The sequence below is a fragment of the Homo sapiens genome, chromosome X (assembly GCF_000001405.40).
Source record: "Homo sapiens chromosome X, GRCh38.p14 Primary Assembly".
Taxonomy (NCBI): domain Eukaryota; kingdom Metazoa; phylum Chordata; class Mammalia; order Primates; family Hominidae; genus Homo; species Homo sapiens.
In genome coordinates this window covers 57,913,485-57,918,666 of record NC_000023.11, presented here as the reverse complement: position 1 = coordinate 57,918,666, position 5,182 = coordinate 57,913,485, and positions in this window count along the sequence as shown.

The window sequence follows — 5,182 nt, the reverse complement described above, 5'->3', positions numbered from 1 at the left end:
GATGTCAGTGCAGTTTTGTGGGGCATGCAAGGCAGGCAAGCCCTAAGTGGCTACACATATGCTTACTTGAGCTATATTTAAAGCAATTGCATATGTGAAAAATTCGAGTTTGGCGTTGGCAGGCTTTCTGCCTGCTGTGAGGAAGTATAATGGCAATATAAAGGCTAATATATGGAGGTCATCTTTAACCCACTGATATAATAACATGCCACTTAGTCAGCCACTCTGATTAATCCGACTAGCATGGTCTGAGATAAAATCCATTCAATCTGTACTGTCAACAGTACTCTAAGCAGCAAGGTGAGATCAATCTGCAACGTTAACCCGAACTTAAAACGTTAAGCGCACACGTACAATACTACTGCTCCTGAGTTTTTATCTAAGAGAAATGAAAGCATAGGTCCACATAAAGACTTGTATGTGAATGTTTATAGCAGCTTCAATTGTACTAGTGAAAAACTGGAAACAATCCAAATTACCATACAATGAAATACTATAATATGACAAATAGTAATGAACTATTGATAGAAATAACAGCATGGGTGAATCTGAAAATAACTACGCTGATTTTAAGAAGACAAAAAAGAGTATACAGTGTATAATTCTATTTATATAAAATTCTATAAAGCACAAACTAATCTATAGTGAGAGAAAGTAGATCAGTGGTTGCCTAGGGACAGGGATGGGGATGGGTAGGGAGGGAAGCAACATAAAGGGGCATGAGAAAGCCTTAGGAGGTGATGAAAATGATTGTCATTTTGAATGTGGTAAGGGCTTATGATTATTGGTAAGGAGTTATGCTCATAAAATATAAATAATTTGTATTTTATAAATTATATAAATTACATATAATTTCTTTTAGTTTTAAATTTAAGGAATGGCAACATGTCTTGCGTCAAAGAACCCTTAAAGCAACACCTAAGTACTGCAAAATCTTTGACGATGTATTTGCCAGTTAACTTATCTTTAAACATCAATAATAAATAAAAATGGTCAAGACTTATTTGTTTCTATGTGTTTATTTTAGTGTGCTATTGCTTTTTCACATTCTGGGTCATATTTTCAAAGTATTGTTTCACATCGTGTAAATGTATGTTTTTTTTTTCACTATTAGTAAAGAGCATCTCAAGAAAGGTCCTACTTTCTACTTTGATGGTATAGGAGCATGTTTGACTCAGATATGAACCACTTGTGGACAGAGTTATGGGTGAGAAATCTGATATTTAAGGAACACTCTGGATTAGTTTCCACTGGTGAGAAAATAAAAAAGTGATGAGCACTTTTTCCAAATACCACGTGATGAATCAAGTACTCAAACATGCTAACTGCATTTAGACTATTCTATTACCAAAATATTCCAATCAATGCCTGTGGACAGTTTGTAAACTGTCATTCCCAATGCCTCCTCATTCTTCAAGTTCCCACTGAAAGGTCTCATAGCTTGTCAGACCTTTGGGGGAAGTGCTTTTTTTTTTTAATTAAAAGTTAAGTCATGTGCAGGGCAGAGTGAGGCAAAATGCAGCCAGTGGTTAGGACCTAAAGACCTCTCCTTCACCTGGGCCTTGAGAGTTTGAGAGAAGCTCAGGAAGAAAAGCCAACCATCTGAGTCCAGTGGGCTTTGAAGCAGTGGTCTTGCATCTGTACATGTGGGATAAATGATGTGAAAACCATTAACTCTGCTGCTGATCCAGCTGCAGGGAAAAGCATTTCCTCTGATCAAGGTGAACATCTGGCTGGTGGACCTCATTTTGCACCAGGTCCTGATCAATGAGCTGAGCCTGAGTCCACAGTTCACCTGATGGAGAACTCAGAGTCAAAGCCCAGGCCCAAGTGAGGCTGTCTGACTGCTGCTTGAGGGCCTAGGGACCACACCCCTGGAGTCAGGAGGGCAGAGGTGAGGATGACAGTGGAATGGCCAGAAGGTAAAGATACATGTGAATATTCTATCTCCATTAGGTCACATGGATGAAAGGCAAGAGAAAAGTAGCATATACATTTTTGAGAAGTTAAAGCTGATAGGACACAAAGATGGTTGATTGTTCTACAGACGTGGAAGGCAGGGGCTTAGGTCCTGTAAAGTCCCCCACTGAGCAAATAACTGAGACAGTACTTCCTAGTGATGCATTCTGCTGTCAAACAGTGTGAAATTTTCCTGGAGAAGGCTCAGGCCATCAGTCCCTGGTCCATCTTCTGGCCCCACAGAGATGCTGATCGAACACCCTCCACAGGGAGAGCATTGCACAAGTGATTCCCTTTTTAGAAATTCTTCTAAGCCAGTCAGAAGAAGACAAGCTTGCAGATGGAAGGGAATCAGAACCTGGGCAATATCTTGTAGTGGCCGAGCTATCCCTGTGTGTGGTTTGGAGTGTTTTCACTAAGACAAAACAGTGGGAGAAAGAAAAACCCTACACCCATACAAACTTTGAGGGAATACTGGAGCTTATTGTAACAGACACTGGTCATGCTATGAAATTTTATTACCTTTTCTGGAGGGGTCGCAGGGCTTTGTGTTTGGGCTGCTTTCCGTGGTGCAGTAATTGTCAAGCTTGCCAAAAGTGTGACAGAATCACGGAATTACCCTTGGCAGAAACGCAGAATTACTCCTAACCTCTACTCTCATCCTCCACCTGGACCAGACAGAGAAACAACTTCTTGAGTTTTCAGAAACTACCAAATCTTGGCTCTAGCTCCGCATCCTTGGCCAGAGCATGGAAGGTTGGGGTGAGGGACACGGTGAACAAAAACTGCATCCTCGAGCTGCTCGCACTTCCTCTTTCCCTCTTTGGTCTTGTGTGTGGGGTCAGAGGTTACCAGGCAGGGGTCACTAAGGTTGTCAGTGGGAGGATGTGAGCCCTAGTGGGTTCCTCCCAGGCAGCTCAACATGGGAGGCTCCCAATTCCCCTTTCTCCTGCAAGGAAAGATACCACAGCTGTGTCATTCTCCTTCAGAGACTGCAGATTGGAGGTCTGTTTTTCCACAAAACCTAGTTCTAAGACATTTCTAGCAAGTGAGAGTGACTGATTGGAAGTCTAGTGGTGACAGCTACCCATGGGGCAGGCTTAAATAGCGACTCCTCCTTGTAGTGAACGAATTTCAGATTTCACACAAGAAGGGCAAAACCATGGGCTATTTTCTCCCATGAATTTTTGCCTATTTTGGGCCCTAAATCAAATTGAGAAAAGTGTGACTAAAACACTCAAACTGCCAATATAGTTAGAGATATACACTTTGTGAGACTAACTCGGGAATCTACTGCCCTGCTTCTGCAAGGATAAGGCTCTGTAAGGCATGACTTGAAATGAAATCCAAGCACCTTTTATCTGTTTAACTCTGGTGCAGGAGAACAGAGCAGCATTTAAGGTATAAATTAAATTAGTCTATTCCTGAAGAGAACATTTGCTACTCACATTTATGGTGGAAGATGCAATCTCACAACACAACAAAGCTCTCCTTGTGAGTGGAGCAGGCCAATACTGGGTAGGGCTAGACTATAGGGCTCACAGGCTCTATGCCCTAAGCTACTGATGCCCCTTTGTGCCAGAGGCTGGGTTTTGCAACAAACTCAGTTCAGGTCTGGGAACACTGGGCCCACCGAGAATCCTAAATAGTCAACTAAAATCCCTGAAATACCCAGGCCTGTTTCTTTAATCATTAGTATTGTTTGCATACCTTTAGGAGGTACAAGCGCAGTTTTGTTACATGGTTATATTACCCACTGGTGAAGTGTAGGCTTACCAAAGCAAAAACAGGGTGGTAGATAATCTCCCTTGTGCAATCAACAACTATAACCCTGGCAGGTAGGGTGCCTACTATTCATACTGACTACAGAGAGCCTGGACTCCTCTAACCTGATAAAGGATATGAAGCCAGTTATCTATTTATTACCTCTTAGCTCCAAATTCACCAGTCAATATATATTCTTCGATAATAGAGGGATTCTTTAAGCATCTCTCCTTTAAAGTAGCATCAAAGAGCACGATGTTACACTTACTTAATAGAGGGCTCTGGAGGGACAGACATTGAAAAAGGAAGGGTACTTCTATGATTTCTGGCTCTCAGAGGTGTGGAGGTAAGGACATTCAGGATGCTTTGTCCCAGGCCTGGGCCCAGAACAACTGTCCCTCAGTAAACCTGCAGTCCTGGTGTGCCCTGATGATCAGCTTCTTGTGGCCCTCTTGATAGGGACATCCTGTACTCCAAGTCATCTGCCCACTGCTTCCCTCTGCTCACTTGCTCCGCAGCCACACACACACACACACACACACACACACACACACACACACGACCAGGTTCATGTAGTCCTTTCAATACTGCAGCCCTCTCAACACCGAGCCCCCACCCTGATCCTGTGCAAGGGGCATTGTTTACTCCAGGCCTCCAACTGAGACAGGACTCCCAACCCCTACTTCACACCACATACTAGGCACCAGCTATGGCTTGTCCACACTACCATGCTCCAAAGGGTGCCTTCTTGCTTCCTCTGCGACCGTAGACCAGTTCTGCCTCTGTAGACCAGCTTAGGTACTGGCAAACCAGTGGAACTTCTCTGCCATCCAGTAGGTTCTTCTCCAATTAGGTATAAAATCCATCCTTGGGGAGAAGCTTTCATTCTAAGCTTGTCTTTCCTTGGGTACTCTCTCCCAGCCCCAGAAAACCCCACATAGAGTTGTCTTGTATCCTATACAAGATCTTTTATCATCGCTTAATGATTCTTTATATTAAATTTTCCCCTTCTAGATCACTGTGTGCTTTCTATCTCCTGATTGGATCCATATTGCTGCAGAACACAACATCTACAGCAAGCATCATTCTTAATGGAGAATCACTGAAAGCTTTCTCTTCAAGAGCTACATCAAGTAAGGATATCCACTATCACCACTTCTATGCAATAGTTTACTGGGGGTAGGGGCGGGGTCCCAGGCAGAGCAGTAGGGCAAGAAAAAGGAATAAGATATTTGGAAAGGAAGAAGAAAGACTGGAACTATTTTCAGATGATATGACAGTGTATATAAAATTCTACAAAGTATTACAGACAAATTATTAGAATCGATAGAAGAGTTTATATGCTTATAGGATAAAATCTTAACGAACAAAAGCCAATTGTATGCTATTTAGAGCTATAAATTTAGACAATAAAAATTTCAAACATATGATTTGCAAAATATTAAATGCCTAGGATAAA